Consider the following 23,525-nt stretch of genomic DNA (forward strand, 5'->3'; position numbering starts at 1 on the left):
AAACATCATCAGAGAACACTTGGAATTTCTGAAGTTGTCATTGCGAATTTCACTTACTCTGAGGAAATTCATTCAATGTGGCTTTCAGAATTTTTTTGGAAAAGGAGTCTTCTCATAATAGCCATCCTGACAATTACACTCATATGCTTATTTCTACAGCAGAAAGTTATCCATTATATCATCTTTTCATAGATGCCAACAGTTAAGCCTATCCTTGCTTCAGCATTAAGGGTCTTCCCCATAACCCAGCAGAACACCTGTGCTGGGAAACCTGGCATACCTTATTGCAAACATAAGCAGAGCTCAAGTTATGTCTCACCTACAGAGCTCAAGTTATGTCTCACCTAGGCTGCTGGAAAATTCTCCATGTGATTGGATACTTCATGGCTCTCTTTAATAGATTCATCTTTTATACTTTAGAAAGCTTCATCTTCTAGAGTTTTCACTTGTTATGTTACCACTAGTCACACAGGAAATAAACCTAACATTTATTTTTAGGTTCTATAAACTTAATCTTCCTCAATCTTCATGGATACTTACAGCAGAAATGTTTATTGCATTTTAAGATACTTAATAGAATATGAGTAGAATTTGTTTTACTCAAAATGATACATGTATTCTTGGTAACAATACCATAAATAATCTGTTTTACATTTAATGTGACATTAAAAATACATATTCAATGATGTCATTATTATTCTATATACTGAGTTGTTTTTGTTTGTGTTGCAAAATTATAGCAATAAAATTTACTTTAACTGCAATTGTGGATGCAATTATGACTTTTATTTTCTTATAATTTGCCATAAATCATAAATAATATAATGCCTATAAAAAGCACAGCTGTCCTTCTTGGGGAAAAAATGTTTTTTTATTCTTGTAATTAGAGTAGAATCTGTCAAAAGTCAAGAGTAGAATTTTAGCTAACTCGGCATCCCCCAGCTGCTGGGTGATATAGGATGTGTAAAAGCCTTGTTTTCCTTAGGAAAAAACTATAGCTGCTCTAAGAGTTTTAACATGCACAGTTTTGTCCCTTTTATATAATTTTCAACAGAGAATATACTGAGTAAAAGTGGTAAAGTAGTCAAACTTCAATCACGTAGCATGAGGATCATATTGGTTAGCTTGTAGGGGTAGGATGTCTGAGTTGAAATGAAATATTTTTCTTAATATTTGTAAACATAGCTACTTTCTGTCTATAAAAGACTGACAATGTTCTTTCCTGACCGTATCCATAAGTAGGCCAGCAGCCATCTTGAAAAGTGATGGATATGTATATTGTGGAGAGGGTAGAATAGAAAAGAGAGTAGCCAGAATATTCTTTTAAGTAGAAACAAGAGTATCTAAGTTATGAATTGAGTTTATCAAGTGTTCTGTTCTTGAGAAAGTATAAATAATCTTTAGAGGCATAATAGAGACATCTTAGACAACCAGCTATTTATCACATACAATGCCATCGCAGAAGCCAGCACATAAACAAAGCAAGGTTAAATACATAAGAATCCCTGTGCCATATAACTGCAGTTTGTCCTAATATCCTTTTTCTTTTTGTCTCTGGATTTGTATATGTGGGAGGAAGGCAAGGAGAGAATCAGAGCTTGCAAGGAGAATTTCGCCTTGTTATTTTGCTAATTTAATGTTCAGTATCTGGTCCACCTGCTGCTGTGCATGAGCTGCGGTGATCTGACACTGATCATGAAATGCTGATTGAAAAATAATGAAGAGTTGACTTTAGATTCAAATTCTTTGTGGGTGAACTAACAACATTCAAGCTTATTAGGACAAGTCAATAACTAACCAAATTTGTGCTTTTGAACTATTTTAACAGATGGCTGCTTTATCTGGTTTCATATATCTTTCATAAGCTCGAAAACTACTCATTTACATTTTCTTTACATCTTAGAAAATAATTGCTGTGGTTTTTCACTTTTTATTCTCTTATGCATTTAAGTTTCCATGTTGAAATTTTCGCCTGGACTTTTTCTACTTTACAGTGGCAAGATTAGAATAAGTTAGTAATAATTAAGTGTGAGCCAGAAGCATATGTAATTTTTAACATATGCCTTGGAAACTAAAGTTGCCTAAGGAAAACACTTATTTCCTCAACTGAAAAATGTGAGATTCTGAGTTTGTCAGAGTATCTTCTTATATAAGAAAATTTTTCAAAAGTTAGAAAAATTTTAAGGCAATAACATGATTTTTCTAATAGTGACAGTGACTTTCCATAACTGCAAACAGATATTTAAGCAACTATGACAAAGTCACATCTCAAAGGTGCTTATAGGGCAAAGTTTTTCAATGGCTCTATGCAATTTATACACCATCCTAAATTTAGAAATCTTTAACAAGTATCATATTTAATATGGTGCATTACACCAATATGGAAGTTATCCCAATCAGTAGATACTTTCCTCTCCTATTGTCTAACATAATCTACTTCTTCCAGAAACACTTGAAAGACTTTTTTTTTTTTAATGAACACTCTTCATTATTTTTCATTCACTGACAGGGCTTCCCTTTAATCAAGTATAATAACTGCTGCATGAAAGAAAGAGTAAGCCTTGATCTTTGAGAAGAAACATATAGGCACGTATGGTGAAGAGATGATTAATTAATTAAGTATTCAAAAAACTTCTTAAAAAATGGTAGCAGGTCTAAGAATATCATCATTACCATCTGAAAAAAACAAGCAAACTAGTTTCCTATACAAACTAGTTCAATGATTCTGCAGCCAATCAATAACATTACATCCAAAATTACCTGAAGTACTCAGAGAACAAAGCTTATTCTTCCTGTTACACTTCCCAAACACAAATAAAAACTAGGATGATGTGGTAGATTGTTTACATGAATAGTCCCAAATACTAGCTTCCCTATAACCAGGGTCTTTGCCCTTAACTGTATTCCTGTCTCACTGTGACTCTGGGATTGAACATTCGACTTGTTTTGCCCAATGGGATATTAGTCAATGTGTTGCAAACAGAGCAGAAGGCATGGATATTTCTGCTTGCTCTCCTGCATAATTGGGCTGACTCATTCCTGGAACTTACCACCACCAAATGAGCATGGCTAGGCAAGTCTGATGTAAAGATATGAGAGACTTAGGAGTAAAGTTTAGTTGTCCAAGCAAAAGTCACCCTAATCTCGATAGTCTCTTCTTAAACTGCAAGTTGACAGCAGATGTATGAACTGGCCCAGCTCAAAACAACCCAGTTTACACTGGCAGAATTATCCAGCCAAACTATAGACTCAAGAGAAATAATATATGCATGCATTTTAAACCTCTTTGTTTTGGGTTGATTTATTACCCAGAGTTCCATTTGGAGTAATAATGTTATACAACATGATAATGACAATAGATAATTGATACACCTAGTCATATTCATAAAACTCTTCCTAAAACCTTATTAATCTACTGTTTTGACTGAATATGCTAAGTAACTTAACACAGTAATTTTCTCCATTTCTCCCTTTCTCCCTCAATACTTTGAAATAAAATGCTTCATTACAGCTTTAAATATCTCTCTATTATTACTATTAATAATATGTACATTTCAGGTGTGACATGCTAGTTAACCAAAATTACTTATTCAGCTTCCAGGACAATGTTTCACAGTTACAGTACACCTTTTACCTAAAAGTAGTCTTAGACCCGAGGAGAAACTTCTAAAAAAGAGAAGGCTTAGTCTGAAAAATAAAATATTCCTAAGGGCTTTGGGTAAACAAACCAAACAACAAAGAAACAAAACCCTCTTCCAGAATATCAAATAAAATCTTACTTACTTTGAGTAATGCAAATTTCTTGCTAACATATTTTTCTCTTTTTGCATTTTCAACCAGACAGCTGAAGATAATTAGAAATCATCAATCTACTTATTTGTTGTTGTTACAAGTCAAACATCATTTTATAGGGACCCCCCACTTCTTGCCAAGTTTTCCACATCTTTCTCAAGGACAGTAGTACTAGATCAACATGAGCATACTCATCAGATAAAGTGAAATAATTAAATAAATAATTTTACCATGGGGGGCAGTCAAAGGTGGCCAAATAGGAACAGCTGTGGTCTGCAGCTCCCAGTGTGATTGACACAGAAGGTGGGTGATTTCTGCATTTCCAACTGAGGTACATGGTTCATCTCACTGGGACTCGCTGGACAGTGGGTGCAGCCCACAGAGGGTGAGCTGAAGCAGGGCGGGGCATTCCTTCACCCACAAAGTGTAAGGGGTAGGGGATTTCCCTTTCCTAGCCAAGGGAAGCCATGACAGACTACCTGGAAAATCGGGACACTCCTGCCCAAATACTGTGCTTTTCCCAAGGTCTTAGCAACCAACAGACAAGGTGATACTCTCCCATGCCTGGTCGGTGGCTCCCACGCCCAAAGAGCCTTGCTCACTGTAAATGCGGCAGTCCGAGATCAATCTGCGAGACAGCAGCCTGGCTGGGGGAGGGGCGTCCGCCATTGCTAAGGCTTGAGTAGGTAAACAAAGCCGCCCAGAAGCTCGAACTGGGAGGAGCACACCACAGCTCAACAAGGCCTACTGCCTCTAGACTCCACCTCTGTGGGCAGGACATAGCTGAACAGAAGGCAGCAGACAACTTCTGCACACTTAAACATCCCTGTCTGACAGCTCTGAAGAGAGCAGTGGTTCTCCCAGCATGGCATTTGAGCTCTGAGAATGGAAAGACTGCCTCCTCAAGTGGGTCTCTGACCCCCGTGAAGACTAACTGGGAGACACCTCCCAGTAGGGGCTGACAGACACCTCATATAGGCGGCTGCCCCTCTGGGACAAAGCTTCCAGAGAAAGGATCAGGCAGCAATATTTCCTGTTCTGCTTTGCTGTTCTGCAGCCTCCGCTGGTGATACCCAGGCAAACAGGGTCTGGAGTGGAAATCAAGCAAACGCCAACAGACCTGCAGCTGAGGGACCTGACCGTTAGAAGGAAAACTAACAAACAGAAAGGAATAGCAACAGCGTCAACAAAAAGGTCATCTACAGCAAAACCCCATCTGTAGGTCACCAATATCAAAGACCAAGAGTAGATAAAACTGCAAACATGGGGAGAAACCAGAGCAGAAAACCTGAAAATTCTAAAAATCAGAGCACCTCTTCTCCTCCAAAGGATTGCAGCTCCTCGCCAGCAACGGAACAAAGCTGGATGGAGAATGACTTGGACGTGTTGACAGAAGTAAGCTTCAGAAGGTTGGTAATAACAAACTTCTCCGAGCTAAAGGAGGATGTTCAAACCCATCATAAGGAAGCTAAAAACCTTCAAAAAAGATTAGATGAATGGCTAACTAGAATAAAGAGTGTAGAGAAGACGTTAAATGACCTGATGGAGCTGAAAACCATCACACAAGAACTTGGTGATGCATGCAAAGCTTCAATAGCCGATTTGATCAAGGGAAAGAAAGAGTATCAGTGATTGAAGATCAAATTAATGAAATAAAACGAGAAAACAAGGTTAGAGAAAAAAGAGTAAAAAGAAATGAACAAAGCCTTCAAGATATATGGGACTATGTGAAAAAAAAAAAATCTATGTTTGATTGGTGTACATAAAAGTGATGGGAAGAATGTAACCAAGGTGGAAAACACTCTTCAGGATATTATCCAGGAGAACTTGCCCAACCTAGCAAGGCAGGCCAACATTCAAATTCAGGAATACAGAGAACACCACAAAGATACTCCTCGAGAAGAGCAACTCCAAGACACATGATTGTCAGATTCACTAAGGTTGAAATGAAGGAAAAGTGTTAAGGGAAAGAAGAGAGAAAAGTCAAGTTACCCACAAAGGGAAGCCCATCAGACTAACAGTGGATCTCTCAGCAGAAACCCTACAAGCCAGAAGAGAGTGGGGGCCAATATTCAACATTCTTAAAGAAAAGAATTTTCAACCCAGAATTTCATATCCAGCCAAACTAAGATTCATAAGTGAAAGAGAAATAAAATCCTTTACAGAAAACCAAATGCTGAGAGATTTTGTCACCACCAGGCCTGCCCTACAAGAGCTCCTGAAGGAAGCACTAAACATGGAAAGGAACAACCGGTACCAGCCACTGCAAAAACAGGCCAAATTGTAAAGACCACTGATGCTATGAAGAAACCGTATCAATTAACGGGCAAAATAACCAGTGAACATCATAATGACAGGACCAACTTAACATATAACAATATTAACCTTAAATGTAAATGGTCTAAGTACCCCAATTAAAAGACACAGACTTGCAAATTGGATAAAGAATCAAGACCCATCATTGTGCTGCATTCAGGAGACCCATCTCACATGCAGAGGCACACATAGGCTCAAAATAAAGGGATGGAGGAAGATCTACCAAGCAAATGGAAAACAAAACAAAAAAAAAGCAGGGTTTGCAATCCCAGTCTCTATAAAACAGACTTTAAACCAACAAAGATCAAAAGAGACAAGGCCATTACATAATGGTGAAGGGATCAATTCAACAAGAAAAGCTAACTCTCCTAAATATATATGCACCCAATACAGGAGCACCCAGATTCATAAAGCAAGTCCAGAGAGACCTACAAGGAGACTTAGACTCTCACACAATAATAATGGGAGACTTTAACACTCCACTGTCAATATTAGACAGATCAATGAGACAGAAGGTTAACAAGGGTATCCAGGACTTGAACTCACCTCTGCACCAAGTGGACCTAATAGATGTCTACAGAACTCTCCAACCCAAACCAACAGAACATATATTCTTCTCAGCACCACATCACACTTATTTTAAAACTGACCACATAATTGGAAGTAAAGCACTCCTCAGCAAATGTAAAAGAACAGAAATCACAACAAACTGTCTCTCAAACCCAATCAAATTACAACTCAGGATTAAGAAACTCACTCAAAACTGCACAACTACATGGAAACTGAACAACCTGCTCCTGTATGACTACTGGGTAAATAATGAAATAAGGCAGAAATAAAGATGTTCTTTGAAACCAATGAGAACAAAGACACAACATACCAGAATATCTGGGACACATTTAAAGCAGTGTGTAGAGGGAAACTTATAGCACTAAATGCCCACAAGACAAAGCAGGAAACATCTAAAATCGACACGCTAACATCACAATTAAAAGATCTAGAGAAGCAAGAGCAAACAAATTCAAAAGCTAGCGGAAGGCTACAAATAACTAAGACCAGAGCAGAACTGAAAGAGATAGAGACACAAAAAACTTTCAAAAAAAATCAATGAATCCAGGAGCTGTTTTTTTGAAAATATCAACAAAATTGATAGACCTATACCCTGACTAATAAAGAAGAAAAGATAAAAGAAACAAATAGATGCAATAAAAAATTATAAACGGGATATCACCACCGATCCCACAGAAATACAAACTACCATCAGAGAATACTATAAACATTTCTATGCAAATAAACTAGAAAATCTACAAGAAATGGATAAACTCCTGCACAAATACACCCTCCCAAGACTTAACCAGGAAGAAGTTGAATCTCCAAATAGACCAATAACAGGCTCTGAAATTGAGGCAATAATTAACAGCCTGCCAACCAAAAAAAGTCCAGGACCAGACGGATTCACAGCCGAATTCTACCAGAAGTACAAAAACAAGCTGGTACCATTCTTTCTGAAACTATTCCAATCAATACAAAAAGAGGGAATCCTCCCTAACTCATGTTATGAGGCCAACATAATCCTGACATCAAAACGTGGCAGAGACACAACAAAAAAAGAGAATTTTAGACCAATAACCCTGATGAACATCAATGTGAAAATCCTCAATAAAATACTGGCAAATCAAATCCAGCAGCACATCGAAAAGCTTATCCACCAAGATCAAGTCAGCTTCATCCCTGGGATGCAAGGCTGGTTCAACATATACAAATCAATAAACATAATCCATCACATAAACAGAACCAAAGACGAAAACCACATGATTATCTCAATAGAAGCAGAAAGGCCTTCAACAAAATTCAACAGCCCTTCATGCTAAAAACTCCCAATAAAATAGGTATTGATGGAACGTATCTCAAAATAATAAGAGCTATTTATGACAAACCCACAGCCAGTATCATACTGAATGGGCAAACACTGGAAGCATTCCCTTTGAAAACCAGCGCAAGACAAGGATGCCCTCTCTCACCACTCCTATTCAACATGGTGTTGGAAGTTCTGACCAGGGCAATCAGGCAAGAGAAAGAAATAAAGGGTATTCGATTAGGAAATGAGGAAGTCAAAGTGTCCCTGTTTGCAGATGACATGATTGTATATTTAGAAAAGCCCATTGTCTCAGCCACAAACCTCCTTAAGCTAATAAGCAACTTCAGCAAAGTCTCAGGATACAAAATCAATGTGCAAAAATCACAAGCATTCCTATACACCATTAACAGACAAACAGAGAGCCAAATCATGAGTGAACTCCCATTCACAATTGCTACAAAGAGACAAAGAGAATAAAATACCTAGGAATCCAACTTAAAAGGGATGTGAAGGACCTCTTCAAGGAAAACAACAAACCACAGCTGAATGAAATAAAAGAGGACACAAACAAATGGAAGAATATTCCATGCTCATGGATAGGAAGATCGATATTGTGAAAATGGCCATACTGCCCAACGTAATTTATAGATTCAATGCCATCCCCATCAAGCTACCAATAACTTTCTTCATAGAATTGGAAAAACTACTTTAAAGTTCATATGGAACCAAAAAAGAGCCTGCATTGCCAAGACAATCCTAAGCAAAAAGAACAAAGCTGGAGCCATCACGCTACCTGACTTCAAACTATACTACAAGGCTACAATAACCAAAACAGCATGGTACTGGTACCAAAACAGAGATATAGACCAATAGAACAGAACAGAGGCCTCAGAAATAACACCACACATCTACAACCATGTGATCTTTGACAAACCTGATAAAAACAAGAAATGGGGTAAGGATTCCCTATTTAATAAATGGTGCTGGGAAGACTGGCTAGCCATGTGTAGAAAGCTGAAATTGGATCCCTTCCTTACACCTTATACAAAAATTAATTCAAGATGGATTAAAGACTTAAATGTTAGGCCTAAAACCATAAAAACCCTAGAAGAAAACCTAGGCAATACCATTCAGGACATAGGCAAGGACTTCATGACTAAAACACCAAAAGCAATGGCAACAAAAGCCAAAATTGAAAAATGGGATCTAATTAAACTAAAGAGCTTCTGCATGGCAAAAGAAACTATCATCAGAGTGAACAGGCAACCTACAGAATGGGAGAAAATTTTCGCAATCTACCCATCTGACAAAGGGCTAATATCCAGAACCTACAAAAAACTTAAAAAATTTACAAGAAAAAAAAACGAACAACCACATCAAAAAGTGGGCATAGGATACGAACAGACACTTCTCAAAAGAAGACATCTGTGCAGCCAACAGACACATGAAAAAATGCTCATCATCACTGGCCATCAGAGAAATGCAAATCAAAACCACAATGAGATACCATCTCATGCCAGTTAGAATGGCAATCATTAAAAAGTCAGGAAACAACAGATGCTAGAGAGGATGTGGAGAAATAGGAACGCTTTTACACTGTTGGTGGGAGTGTAAACTAGTTCAACCATTGTGGAAGACTGTGTGGTGATTCCTCAAGGATCTAGAACTAGAATTACCATTTGATCCAGCCATCCCATTACTGGGTATATACCCAAAGGATTGTAAATCATGCTACTATAAAGACACATGCACACGTATGTTTATTGCAGCACTATTCACAATAGCAAAGACTTGGAACCAACCCAAATGTCCAACAATGATAGACTGGATTAAGAAAATGTGGCACATATACACTGTGGAATACTATGCAGCCATAAAAAACGATGAGTTCATGTCCTTTGTAGGGACATGGATGAAGATGGAAACCATTGTTCTCAGCAAACTATCACAAGGACAAAAAACCAAACACCCCATGTTCTCACTCATAGGTGGGAAGGGAACAATGAGATCACTTGGACACAGGACGGGGAACATCACACACCGGGGCATTTCGGGGGGTGGGGGGCTGGGGGAGGGATAGCATTAGGAGAAATACTTAATGTAAATCATGCGTTGAAGGGTGCAGCAAACCAACATGGCACATACATACCTATGTATCAAACCTGCACGTTGTGCACATGTACCCTAGAACTTAAATTATAATTTAAAAAAATAATAATAATTTTACCTTATTCCTGTGATGTCTTTCATGGATGGACAGGAAATTGTCAATAATTATATATAAGGGAAACCTGGGACATTGAGGACATCATTTGCTTTTTGCTCAACCTCTCAGAATCTTGTTTTTTCCTTTTATCACAAATCAAATCATGTTGCTGGGCAGAGAAAGGCTTGGAGAATATGGTATCCTGCCCCCAAATAGTGATTATTTTCTCCATATTTCTGTGGGAGTAGGAAATACTACAAACCAGAACCTAGAAATCATTTGTTTATATCTTAAATTCATCAACCCCAGTTAAAGTTATATATAGAAATTTAATATGAGAAAGTGGTAAATTTTTACTTTTTAAAGACAGAATATCATTATTTCCAGTGAGTTTCTCACATGAAAAGATAGTGTAAGATTAAAAAAAAAGTGGTGAGATTGCCAAGCTAACAATCACTTATTTCCTTGATACTGATAACTACGATACATCTGCTTCCTCTAAGTCTTATTCTCTGCTAAGTGATTTTCAGACATTTTATTTAATCCTACAATGATGATTCAACAGCAAATGTAATTAGTTGGCAGATCCAAGAGTCAGTTCCCTCATCCTTCTTTCATGCTGCCTTCCCCTGTAGTGGCTAGAAAAGTGAAATACTCAATTTTCCAAACTTTCTTACAGCAAGAGATGGCTATGACAAGTATTGGCCAACAGTCTATAAACAGAAGTAGATTTAAGAGATTTCTAGAAAAGCCTTTCATTTTCTGATTGAAGAAACTGCCAAAATGGACATAATTCTTCCTTTCTTCTGCTTTGAATGTGGATTTGATGCCTAGAGCTGTGGCAGCCATCTTGTCACCATATGAAAAAGACCAAGAGCATTGCAGAGAAGCCAACCCTGATATTACTGAACCATTAAACCAATTCCAGCAGCCATCTATCTCCAGATTTCTTGCCATGAAAAGGAAAATAAGCCCCTACTTTTTATAGTCATTGTTAGTCAAATGTTTTACTACCACAACATATAAATGTTCCTGACTGAAGTTTCAAATCCCATTTTCTTAACCAAGCCCAATATTTCTTCTCTCCCTGTACTCAGTATTAAACTAGATATTGCATTAGTAATATCTCACAAACTTCCCAACACAAATTTTTATGCTAAGTTCCAAGTACATGTGAGGTGCTGGTTGCAAGATGAAGCCAACTGATTGCTGATTTTAGTATACTCATCATGAAGAGAAGCAGAGTAAGTAGTAACTACCACAGGTTTGCTTTTTATCTGTCTGTAACTTTAATATTAAAAAAACAGAAAGCAAGAATAACACCAAAGTATAAAATGTAGGACTTTCAGAGAGCTTATTTCTTGGGTACAGAACTTTCATTCATCCTTTTATTTCTGAAGGCTCTGCAATCATCAAGCTGCTCCTAATTTAGAGAACTTTAGAATTACTAGAATCATTTCCTGGGAAATTTGAGTTATGAAGACAATTGAAGTGAAACTGCATTCACAGATTGTAGTATCATAGAAAGAGGGCAGACTTTGAAGCCAGATAGAAGCTTAAGCACCTGGGGTGATTTATTTAGCCTGCTTGTGTTTCAGAATTCTCATCTGCAACAGGTAAGTTGCAGACCAAAGATATCATTTCTGTGACATGCTTTGTACAGACGATGGAATATATTAAATGTTCAGTAAATATTTTGTATTTTTCTTAATTTAATTATCTTTCTGATATCTTGGCTTTTTAAAAATCTTTAGACAAAGCCAGAGAAGAAACATCCCACTATGTTCAACCAGTCTCATGCTTACTCAAAATGACTTTCTGGCCTCAAAATAAAATCTTTTTTTCAACCTATAAATCTCTAAGTACAAAGCAGGGAAATTGTGGTGAGAGCAGCCATTGATTCTGATGAGATCTCTGACTGGGCTGAGCAAACACTGGGTAAATTCCAAGTTCAATGAGGGCTAAGCAAATAAAACCACAGCCAGTTCTGTTTGCTCCATCTGCCTAAGATGTGAAGAAAGTGTAAATGGGGTGTTCTGTTAGCCTTCATTTTATTTATTTAGCAAATGTAAAATTGGTCATGGAACCTGTAGTACATTCTACAGCCCAGGTCACAAAATGTTAGCAATAAATGAAAACCAAGATCTTATAACATCTTCATAGTTGTTTTCCCCTCTAGACTGTTCATGTAATAAGTATTTGAGATCCTTCTGTTTGTTAGACATTGAGGATACAAAGATTAATAAGATACTGCTCCTGACCCCTTGAAAGGCTCATAATCTGCTTGGAATCAGAAGCTGGTTTCTGGGGCGACCATGATGGGTAGCAATGGCAGTTGAGAATGAGGTTTTTTTGTAGAGATCATGGAAAATAAATGCTCAACAGTTCAAGTTATGTGATAAAAGGTCTTCCCTTCTTGTGCCTCCCTCATAAGGCTTCTCTATGCAAGTGCCAAGGCTGGGAGACTGGATCAAGTCAGACAAGATTATCTAGGCTTGGGCGGAACTAAGATTATAAAACCAGCCCAAGAAAGGAGAGAACTGTAAGTTATCTGTTCCCCATGGCCTGACTCAAATGTCAAATGTCTACTCTGCCAAGCAGCTCAGGTGGGCAACCTGGAAGCTTAGCTTATGTCTGCATGTTGTAGCTTCATCCTGAGCAGAAATGGTGGAAATTGTGCCCTGATAACAAATCCAGAGGCTCTCTTCTTGCCAAACTCAACCATACACAATTTGTCTGCAGCTACTGTGCTTCCTCTCCCTGCAATAGCTGAGTGAACAGAGACGGAGGAGTAATAAGGAAATAGACATGCAAATAAGTTATTATAATGCAATGTACTATGGAAGCACAGACTAATGACCAATGAATTCTTCTTGGTCCCAGAAACAGATGCTCACAGAAAACTCAGAAGACTTCTCAAGTGCTAATACTTAAAAGAAAATATAGACGTTTTGTTGAGCCGGTACATGAAAAGAGGAGAAGATAAGGAGAGAGCATGCTGGCCAATGGAAGAGCATGCGAAGTGCAAAAAGGCAGGAAAGCAACTGACGTGTTCTGGAAAAGTCAAACAATTCAACATTGGAGTTCAGGTGTTCCATATGTGTAAAGGGTGAGAGCAGCCATTGATGCGGATGCAGTGTCCCTGATGGGGCTAATCATTAGACAACACATACATGCATCAAAACATCACACTGTACCTTAGAAATAGGTACAATCATTATCTGTCAATTAAGAAATAAGTATTAATATCTTAATCTGTGGGAGGGAAAGAAAAAATCAGTTGGATGTTGCCTTTTATGATTAAAGAGTCAGTGCAGCTCAAATTTGCTTCATAAAAGGACACATTTTTCATTTCCTATAGATTACATAACAGGGAGATTTCACATGTTAAAAACCCATATTTTTGTTTTCTCTTGAAAACTCAAATGTGGCAGCAATCGTGGAGGTGAAAGGCAGCAGTCGTTTAGAAAAATACCCGATCCAGTTGGCCACCAACCCTGACCAGCCCATTTCATTTTTCTTCCTGCCAGGCCTTGGAAAGAAGTGAGTGTTTTACTCCTGCACTCAGTGATGAAAAGATAAAATTTTTAAACAGGAGACTGATAGGATTACATTAGTTTTATGTTCAACATAGTGAGCAGAGAAGGAAGGGATACCACACACACTCTGCTATCCCCTGCTAGCATTTTAATAATTTAAAAATCCCTCGCTCCTGCTTAGGCAATTTTTAATAGTGGGTAAGTGAACCTCTGAAATATAGCTCCTTTGCTACCAAATTCCCCTTTTTCTCTCCTTTAGTGAAAGGATTTTCAAATCATAGAGTCCTTTTTCAGAAAACCACAGGAGATAATCGATTTTATTGTGTTGAATGTCTTTAAATAATTCAAATCAAAGTATACTATGAACTTAATATAACTCATCTATGGTGTTCTAACGGTTATTAAATACCTAGATTTGCTCCAATGAGTTAAATGAAAGTTTATCCTGAATGTGCAATGTTTGCAAAGCCCTTTGGCATGTGTGTTGCTGTGGCATGTGGACTCACTACTTGATCGTGGTTAAGAAGGTTTGTCCCCAAGTGAAAAAGTTGAGTGGGGAAAGTTGAGTTTAATAATATCAACATATATCATTGCAATGCACTGATTTAAAACCAAATTAATATTTTATCCTCAGGTAATTCTTACTATAATCCAAAAAGTCTCATCAAAAGAGATTTATTTAAAAAACTTTTCTTTTATTAAGTTTACTAACCAGAGTTATTTTTAAGAGTCTCCAAGATGAATACCTGAGATGTAGAAAGACGTAAAGTTTCTGGAGAAATCGAGGTTGCAAAATCCTGTAAAGTAAAATACTGACTAATGGGAATTTTGAACAGATATGTCTAATGCTATTATAATGAATGAACACAAGTGGATAAAAATGATTGACAAAAGGATAGAGGATCTCTAATATTTACTGAGTTCCTTCTACATGTCAGGTACTATTTTAGGTCTTTCATATATCACATAATACACCTAAACCTCACAGTAAACCTGTGTCAGGTTACTATCCTCACTTTACAGGTGCAGAAACTGAAACACCGAGAGGTTAAGTAATATATACAAGGTTGCGTAGTTGCAAATGGCAATCAATTTTGAACTTAAGATTTGTCTAATTCCAAGGCTATGCTTTGGAGAGAAAATAAACACTGTAAATGATGAAGAGTTTCACCAAGCATTACCCAATCTGCTGAAAGACTGCTGCTAACCTCAGCTGTATGGGTGAATCTGAAGCCAGGTGCACACATTGGGAAAGGGAGGTTCACAGGTCCCCTACATTAGTTCTTCTGTTAAGAGATGCTCCTGCAATATTACATAGGCCGCTTTGCCCACTGTCACTCACACACACACACACACACACATATGCACCACAGCAGTGCTAAATGTCTAGGAATTTATGACAGGATGGGCCATTACTTCTACCCAAAGATGTAAATCCTTTTAAAAAATACCAAATGTTGGGCACCTAGACAGAGAGCACCCCATTCATCAGCATAGATAAATATATAAAATCCACTATAAGAAAACTGAAATAAATACACTCACATGCTGTCAATCTTTGCCAACACTATGAACTGAAGTGAGCACAAGAAGCCACTGGTAACCTTCAGATAAGAAATCCTTAAGCCACAGACCCTCTTTCACTTGTTTCTTTGGTATTTTACTAGGTTTAAATAAAGGCTGACAAATCACTCCACCACAGTAGCAATAATTCTACCTAGATATTTTTGTATGTGAAGGAACCAACCAATAAGACTTAAGAACAAGAACAAAGCTGCCAAAGGAGATGGATGTGATGGCAACCTGAAAGATCATGATGTCCACCTGATGTGAAAGAGGAGGAGGGCTGCACTGCACAGGCTAGGAAACCAAAGGTGGCTCATTGGGTTCATCTGAGGCTCTCTAAGTGAAGACCGGGTCACAACAGAAACGCCCAAAGAGAGGTTCTGAAAGAGCTGTTCTTTTCCTGATGACTTCACTTCATTTAGGGATTCACAAAAGTACATGCTTACTTTCTTTTTTTTTTTTTTTGAGATGGAATCTTGCTCTGTCCCCCAGGCTGGAGGGCAGTGGCACAATCTCGGCTCACTGCAAGCTCTGCCTCCCGGGTTCACGCCATTCTCCCGCCTCAGCCTCCTGAGCAGCTGGGACTACAGGCATCCGCTACCACGCCCAGCTAATTTTTTGTATTTTTAGTAGAGACAGGGTTTCACCGTGTTAGCCAGGATGGTCTCGATCTCCTGACTTCGTGATCCGCCCATCTCGGCCTCCTAAAGTGCTGGGATTACAGGTGTGAGCCACCGTGCCCAAATTTTGCTACTTACCTAGTATGAACAAGCAAAAAGAGCAGAAAATAATGCCCTCCAAAAAAAAGTCACTTGTAATAGCAGTTATCAGAATTTTAAATGGAATCATCATTCTACATGATGGCAACAGCTCTTCTGTAGATGGGCACATTTCCAGAATCTTGACACTTGTTTTATATCCAGATTTCACAATTTTCTCCAGTTACAATAAAATGTGCAGGGAGCACTTATGTTCCTGCTCATATATTATCTTAGATTTTAAAATCTTGGAGGCAATGATATATTCTATACTTATTTTTATATAACCTACTGCACTTTCTTTTAAATAATAACTCATTGCCTTTGTAAAGCAGATTATATATTTCATTTGAGTACTTCCATTATATCATTTTATTTGACTCTCATTATCCTGTGAGGGAAAGCAGGATGGCATTATTTCTATTTTACAGATAAAGCCTTAAAAGAAGGTAGTTTCCCAGGAACACACAGCTATTCAACAAGAGGGTTGAGGCAAGATCCTGAATCTTCTGATCTATGGATAAATGAACCCAATTTTTTGATTCATTTATTTTCAAAGAAGAATAAGGCTGTAGTGATTGTAATCCTCTTAAGTCTACTCAGCCTAAAGCATGGATCAAATGCAGGGAACCCTTGGCAAAAATCTCTAGAATGCATGGTGTTTAGCCCAGCTGCTGCTTTCAAGGGCAATAGCAAATTAGCAGTCTGTGGAAATTGTGGGTTAGATAGTTCCTTTAAGGACAAAGTTCATTTTGTTTGGGTTTATATTATTTTTTAATGAATACAATGGTCTATCAAATGGCTTAAAAATAAAATAAAGCAAAGGTCATTGCTATGAACTGAATATTTGTTTCCCTTTAAATTCATGTGATGGTATTTGGAGAAGCAGTTTGTGGGAGGTAACCAAGATTAGGTTAGATCATAAGGGTTTGTCCCCATAATGAGATTAGTGTCCTTATTAAATAAAAATTTAAAAAGGAATAGACAGGGGATCTATTTCATGGTGTGTGGAAAGAAAGCTGGCGTGAAGACATAACCAGGAAGAGGACTTTCACCAAGAACGTGACCATGCTGGCTGACTCCTTGATCTCAGACTTACAACCTCAATAGGACTGTGAGAAATAAACATCTGCCATTTAAGCTACCCAGTCTGTGGTATTGGTATTCTGTTCTAGTACACTAAGAAGACAGAGAGAGTCATATAAGTGGGCAAGTGTCATGAATGGTCATAAAATAAGCAGCTTAACACCAGTTCCTTACACCAGATGGCCTCTGTCGTTACCTGAAATTGTGAGCCTGAGCCCCAAATAATAATTTGTTCTTACTGTCTTCTAAAAGGCAGTACACTAAAAATCCTGTTCCTTGTCAGTTATGGCTCCTAAAATGCTACCAATAAAAAAAGCTTTGCAAAACAAAGTTAAAATATATATATATACTGAATTAATTAAAATTTCTGTAATACTGACTAATTAAGCCCTCTAGACAATTACTTCCATATGCAGTTCACTGTTCAATCAGATGTCACATATTATTATCCTAAATAAAAGTTTAAAACTTCCAAAAAGACCTTCTAGAGACACGTTTACAGAGCTATAATACCTAAATACACAGCACAATATACTTTTCATATATATTAACAGCATTAATACCATTCCAAGGAAAAGTATAAGAAGTATATTGGTCTTTTGTCAGATATATAGATTGTGAAGATTTTCTCCCACTCTGTGGGTTGTCTTTTTACTCTGCTGACTGTTCCTTTTGTTGTGCAAAAACTCTTTAGCTTAATTAGGTCCCAGCTATTTATCTTTGTTTTCATTGCATTTGCTTTTGGGTTCTTGGTCATGAAATCCTTTCCTAAGCCAGTGTCTAGAAGGGTTTCTCCAACTTTATCTTCTGGAATTTTTATAGTTTCAGGTCTTAGGTTTAAGTCCTTAATACATCTTGAGTTGATTTTGTATAAGGTGAGAGATGAGAATCCAGTTTCATTCTCCCACATGTGGCTAGCCAATTATCCCAACACCATTTGGTGAAAAGGGTGTCCTTTCCCCACTTTATGTTTTTGTTTGCTTTGTCGAAGATCAATTGGCTGTAAGTATTTGGGTTTATTTCTGGGTTTGCGATTCTGTTCCATTGGTCTATGTGCCTACTTTTATACTAGTACCAAGCTGTTTTGTGACTGCAGCCTTATAGTATAGTTTGAAATCAGGTAGTGGGATGACTCCAGATTTGTTCTTTTTGCTTACTCTTGCTTTGGCTATGTGGGCTTCTTTTGGTTCCACATGAATTTTAGAATTGTTTTTTCTAATTCTGTGAAGAATGATGGTGGTACTTTGATGGGAATTGTGTTGAATTTGTGGATTGCTTTTGGCAGTATGGTCATTTCACAATATTAATTCTACCCATCCATGAGCATGGGATGTGTTTCCATTTGTTTGTGTCATCTATGATTCCTTTCAGCAATGTTTTGTAGTTTTCCTTGTAGAGGTCTTTGACTCCTTAGATAATCCTAAGGGGTTTTTTTGTTTTTTTGTTTTTTGTTTTTGGGTTTTTTTGCAGCTATTGTAAAAGGGGTTGAGTTCTTGATTTGATTCTCTACTTGGTCGCTGTCGCTGTATAGAAGAGCTACTGATTTGTGTACATTAATCTTGTATCCAGAAATTTTGCTGAATTCTTTTATCAGTTCTAGGAGCTTTTTGGAGGAGTCCTTAGTGTTTTCAAGGTAAACAATCATATTGTCAGCAAACAGTGACAGTTTGATTTCCCCTTTACTTTAGTTCTTTCTCTTGCCTGACTGCTCTGTGAACTCAAAGAAATCAGTAAGAAAAAAATAAACAATCCCATCAAAAAGTGGGCTAAGGACATGAATAGACAATTCTCAAAAGAATATATACAAATGGCCAACACACATATGAAAAAATGCTGAACATCACTAATGATCAGGGAAATGCAAATCAAAACCACAATGTGATACCACCTTATTCCTCCAAGAATGGCCATAATCAAAAAATCAAAAAAACAGTAGATGTTGGCATGGATGTGGTGAACAGGGAACACTTCTACACTGCTGGTGAGAATGTAAACGAATACAGTCACTAAGGAAAACACAAAAATTACTCAGGCATGGTGGCACACGCCTGTAGTCCCAGCTACTCAGGAGGCTGAGGCAGGAGAATCACTTGAACCCGTGAGGCGGAGGTTGCAATGAGTCGTGATGGCGCCACTGCACTCCAGCCTGGGAGACAGAGCAAGACTCTCTCTCAAAAAAAAAAAAAAAAAGAAAAAAAAAAGAAAAGAAGGTAGAAGTGTCAGAATACCTGATGTGTTTGAGCAGGCTGAAAGGAGATATAGAAAAATGTAAGAGAAGTGAGAAAAAAAAATATATATATATATACACACACACATATATGAAAAAAACATTACTATTAGCAATTAAGGAAAAATGGGAAGTTATGCAACAAATGAGTAGTGGTCAGAACATACTACTGTTGTGACTAGAATTTACAAGATCATAGTAAACATAAAGGCTGAAAATTGGTCTACTCAAAATAATGGCATAAATATTTTGGCTGAATGAGAGGTTATGTTTTTATGCATGCCTGTGCAGGGAAAGGTGATGAAGAAGAGGTAAATTGTCCTCCTCCATGGTGAGAAGTTAGTAGATGTTGGTTAAAACAAAATGAATAGTGCCATAAGCTGTTGCTCAGAAATGTACAGGTGCTTTCTACAAAATTCTGTTGAAAATGGTTGCTTCCGGAATGCAAGAAATGGGCAGGAGAGCCTGGGAATAGATATTCTTCCAATAGCTTTGTAGAACTTTATAAGTCTTTAAACTAGGTGCTGAAAAATAAAAAAAAATAAAATTAATTTTAAAAAATTTAAACATTTAACTTGCTACCTTTTTCCACATTAAATAAGCCAACTTTTAAGCATTCCTTCCATGGGCCAAAGCTTTTGCTACTTAACCATGAAATCATATATGTTTATTCTAGCAAACATTAGAGAATGCATTGTGTGTGTGTGTGTGTGTGTGTGTGTGTGTGTGTGTGTTTACCACTCTCATGAGAAAATTATTCTGCTGGATTTCTGCTAGCAAGAAAGATTGCCTGAAATGGTTAGGAGAATCACTTTTAATAGCTTGGAAGAAAGGACAGTTTTCTAAGCAATTGTCCCCAAGTTCACCAGAGAATAATGAAGCTAATTTATAAAAATCCCCAATGCAAACCTTTGTCCTACTTCTTGGGCCTCATCCATCTTCTCTGCATTGGCAGGCAAGAACAAATGTAGCAAAAACCCTTTCCTAACTTCACAGATACTGATAAATAAAATTAACTGATGAACGTAACCAGAACACCTAGGCAAACTGGATAACAATTTTACACTTAAACTTTCCTTATTAAAGAGAATATGCTGATCTAGCAGTACACCTCTAGATATAGGGGGCATGATAGCCCCCTTCACTAATGTGTCATTCAGAATCTTTCTGTCTTATTTAGTAATTTTTCATGCTTGTGGGGATCCAAGGTTTTCTTTTTTTTTTTTTTTAGACTTTTTCATTGAGTAAGTTAAAATGGAGATATTTTACTATCATCTTCATGTTTAAAACTCTACTCCACTGCACGATGCCTTCCTGGAAATATTTAACTGGAACAAAAACACTCTAAGATGTGCATACAGGAGATGCACCCCACAGGCTCCTCAAACACACACACTGGCATACAGCAATCTCTAATTGATCTGGAGGCCGTAGCCATATCAACAGATATTTTAGTTTATGCTGTATTGTTCCTCCACTACTTAGAATAGTTTTCTATTCTCCTTAGCAGCGACCCTCAATCTTTAGTTGGGTATATAAGCATTACACAAGGTGTATTTTAAATATGCAGGTTCTCTACTATGCAGCCATAAAAAAGAATGAGTTCATGCCCTTTGCAGGGACATGGATGAAGCTGGAAGCCATCATTCTCAGCAAACTAACACAGGAACAGAAAACCAAACACCGCATGTTCTCACTCATAAGTGGGAGCTGAACAATGAGAACGCAGGGACACAGGGAGGGGAACATCACACACCAGGGCCTGTCAGGGGGTGGGGGGCAAGGGGAGGGAGAATATTAGGACAAATACTTAATGCATGTGGGGCTTAAAACCTAGATGATGGGTTGATAGGTGCAGCAAACCACCATGGCACATGTATACCTATGTAACAAACCTGCACGTTCTGCACATGTATCCCAGAACTTAAAGGAAAATTAAAACAAATAAATAAAATAAAAATAAAAATGCAGATTCTCAGGCGCCCCGTTATTTGGATTCTTTGTGTTTAGTGTTGAGTTTGTGAATCTGCATTTTAACAAATCCCCCTCCACCCTATGAGTCTGCTGCCATATTTACAACATAGTGGCCTGCAGGATACAACTTAAATCCTTTACCAGAATATACATAGTTCTCCCAACCTGGTCCTTGCCTATTTCTCTAACCTATGTTTCTTATATCCCAGAATGAACCTGTTGCTCAAACTGAACTATCACCTTTCCATGCTATTTCAAATATTTGTAGCATATTTCATTTTACTTCCTAGAACACACTTCTCCCGCCAGTATTTATTATCTTCCCACCATACCAAGTATCTCCTGTGAATAATGGACTTTTTGGGGAGGGGATGCTCTTTTATCTTCATTTCTCACTCAAAACATGTTCTAATTAGAGCTGCTAACTATAGTATCTACTCCCTTGGCCACAGGAAACCAGTGGAAGGCATGTGAGGCCAACCAAATACTTTCCCTGGGATTTTTTTTGAACTAGAAATTTTATCTTTCTGTGCCTGGCTTATTTCAAAAAGAAATAGAACTTTAATAGTGTAAAAGCTGAGAGATGTGTGGGTCAAGAGCTATATGAAATCTTGTTCCTGAAAAATGGAGGAAAACAGCCAAGAAGAATAAAGCTAACATCCACAAAGGAGCAGGAATAGTTAATAAATGTACATTGATCAAACATAATTTTGCTACTGGTAATACTGTTATACATTATTAAGCTAAACATATGGAAACAAATATTACTTGACTGAACCTGAATGAATACAGGCTGAGGTCTGCATGGGTATGTTTTACATGGGAAAAATGTATTAAATTCTAAGATTTATTTAGGATATTAGGACTGTTCATAGTTTAAACAGGCCAATAATTTAATATAATATCATACATTAATATGTAACTAAGAGAAATAATTTCTTATAGATAACTCTAAATTGGAAGGAAATTATAACATTTTCTGGGTCATAGATTCCTTTGAGAGACTGATAAAAGTTTGAATTCTTTTAGGGGAAAAAATGCATATTTACCCCAAATTCAACAAACAGTATCTGGAGAATCACAGATGACCAAAAACCTATTCATGGAGTTCTTTTAAAACTTCCAGGGCTCCTGTTGTTTCCTGACTTTTTAATGATTGCCATTCTAACTAGTGTGAGATGATATCTCATTGTGGTTTTGATTTGCATTTCTCTGATGGCCAGTGATGGTGAGCATTTTCTCATGTGTTTTTTTGGCTGCATAAATGTCTTCTTTTGAGAAGTGTCTGTTCATGTTCTTTGCCCAATTTTTGATGGGGTTGTTTGTTTTTTTCTTGTAAATTTGTTTGAGTTCATTGTAGATTCTGGATATTAGCCCTTTGTCAGATGAGTAGGTTGTGAAAATTTTCTCCCATTTTGTGGGTTGCCTGTTCACTCTGATGGTAGTTTCTGGAGAGGATGTGGAGAAATAGGAACACTTTTACACTGTTGGTGGGACTGTAAACTAGTTCAACCATTGTGGAAGTCAGTGTGGCGATTCCTCAGGGATCTAGAACTAGAAATACCATTTGACCCAGCAATCCCATTACTGGGTATATACCCAAAGGATTATAAATCATGCTGCTATAAAGACACATGCACACATATGTTTATTGCGGCACTATTCACAATAGCAAAGACTTGGAACTAACCCAAATGTCCAACAATGATAGACTGGATTAAGAAAATGTGGCACATATACACCATGGAATACTATGCAGCCATAAAAAATGATGAGTTCATGTCCTTTGTAGGGACATGGATGAAATTGGAAATCATCATTCTCAGTAAACTATCCCAAGAACAAAAAACCAAACACCACATATTCTCACTCATAGGTGGGAACTGAACAATGAGAACACATGGACACAGGAAGGGGAACATCACACTCTGGGGACTGTTGTGGGGTGGGGGTAGCGGGGAGGGATAGCATTGGGAGATATACCTAATGCTAGATGACGAGTTAGTGGGTGCAGTGCACCAGCATGTCACATGTATACATATGTAACTAACCTGCACATTGTGCACATGTACCCTAAAACTTAAAGTATAATAATTTAAAAAAAAAATTAGAAACACCAAAAAAAAAACTTCCAGGGCTCAACCAGACTTGTTTCTGTTCTGCTCTACATGACTGCCACACAAGCCTACCTGTATATGTAAGA

General features: G+C 37.5%; 1 long non-coding RNA gene across 2 annotated transcripts in view, besides 1 other annotated feature; it reads right to left on the minus strand.

Moving 5' to 3' along the window:
- The window catches only part of LOC105377700 (uncharacterized), a 348,217-nt gene that overhangs the window by 71,917 nt on the left and 252,775 nt on the right, over nt 1-23,525 (minus strand). The gene's annotated exons all lie outside the window — the stretch shown is intronic.
- Nucleotides 17,612-18,351: an enhancer, noted in NCBI's record as "NANOG hESC enhancer chr5:162605640-162606379 (GRCh37/hg19 assembly coordinates)". NCBI's record gives its function as "activates a minimal SCP1, AML or CMV promoter by ChIP-STARR-seq in primed H9 embryonic stem cells {active_cell/tissue: H9 hESC(primed)}" and the evidence as "EXISTENCE:reporter gene assay evidence [ECO:0000049][PMID:30033119]".

The sequence above is a fragment of the Homo sapiens genome, chromosome 5 (assembly GCF_000001405.40).
Source record: "Homo sapiens chromosome 5, GRCh38.p14 Primary Assembly".
Classification (NCBI taxonomy): Eukaryota; Metazoa; Chordata; class Mammalia; order Primates; family Hominidae; genus Homo; species Homo sapiens.